This window comes from Homo sapiens, chromosome 12, assembly GCF_000001405.40.
Source record: "Homo sapiens chromosome 12, GRCh38.p14 Primary Assembly".
Lineage (NCBI taxonomy): Eukaryota > Metazoa > Chordata > Mammalia > Primates > Hominidae > Homo > Homo sapiens.
The window spans coordinates 28,878,593-28,879,870 of NC_000012.12; the positions used below are offsets into that span (position 1 = coordinate 28,878,593).

Below are 1,278 nucleotides of genomic sequence, written 5' to 3' on the forward strand. Positions count from 1 at the left end.
CTTATTTAATCTATTTATTTATCTTTATATAGATAGTGGACCAGATTTCTGTGTTCTACAATTCCAGGAGAGTATAATGGGAAATAATATTACATAGATGAAAAGAGACAATTACTTGGGAATGTTCCAAGAGAAGATGGAATTAAGCTCCCTCAGCCCTTTGTTTGAGATACATTTCCCACCATGGCTGCTCTGCCAGCTCAAACCTTTTCTATCAGTCGAGCAAGTACCATCTGTCACCTATTATCAGGGGTAGAAGTCTGAGTACTTCCACTCACTGCATATTGGTTTTGGAGTCACCAAGGAAAACACAATGCAGTCAAGCACTGGATGGAAGAACACTTTACTCACCTAGAAAAGAGACAGAGCAACCAGGCTTGGTGGCTCACGCCTGTAATCCCAGCACTCTGGGAGGCCAAGGCAGGTGGATCACTTGAGGTCAGGAGTTCGAGACCAGCCTGACCAACATGGTAAAATCCCATCTCTACTAAAAAATACAACAATTAGCAAGGTGTGGTGGCATGTGCCTGTAGTCCCACCTATTCAGGAGGCTGAGGCAGGAGAATCACTTTGAACCTGGGAGGCGGAGGGTACAGTGAGCCGAGATTGTGCCACTGCACTCCAGCCTGAGTGACAGAGTGAGACTCTGTCTCCAAAAAAAGAAAAAAAGAAAGAAAGAAAAAAAAAGAAAGAGAGAGAGAGAAAGAGAAAGAGAAAGAAAGAAAGAAAGAAAGAGAAAGAAAAGGAAAGGAAAGGAAAAGAAAAGAAAAGAAAAGAAAAGAAAAGAAAAAAAAGAAAAGAAAAACAGAATCAGTGGTGAGTCTTCCATGGCCAGCGGGCCCCCTCCCAGTAGCCAACATGAGGCAACTGGCCTGCACATACCCTCTTGTGCTGTGTCAGAAGGACTCGATCCCCTTCCTGCCAGAGGCAGATATGCTAGTAAGGTTGGTCAGGTGACATAGGACACACACTTGTTCAGAAAGAAGGAGTATGCATTGAGTCTGAAACAGGAAATGATACTTCCACTCAAGGTGATGAATCTTGCACAGGCAGTGAGGACTCTATCTCTTGGTAAAGAAGTGTTTCAGACCCAAGGCCTATTCAGAAGTCATGAGAAGGAATCAGAAGACTGTGTGGATGCACTGCCTTTCTCCACACTATCATCTTCCATCCTTTTCATAAGCCCACTTTCTTTATATCACATTTCTTTTTCTCACCTACTTGAATTCATTCCCATGTTTATTTGCTTGATTCATGAGGTCACTTATTAATCAATCA

General features: G+C 42.8%; 1 annotated feature.

Annotated features, from left to right (window-relative positions):
- Positions 996 to 1,055: a silencer, noted in NCBI's record as "silent region_4318". NCBI's record gives its function as "represses an Ori minimal core promoter by ATAC-STARR-seq in GM12878 lymphoblastoid cells {active_cell/tissue: GM12878}" and the evidence as "EXISTENCE:reporter gene assay evidence [ECO:0000049][PMID:35858748]".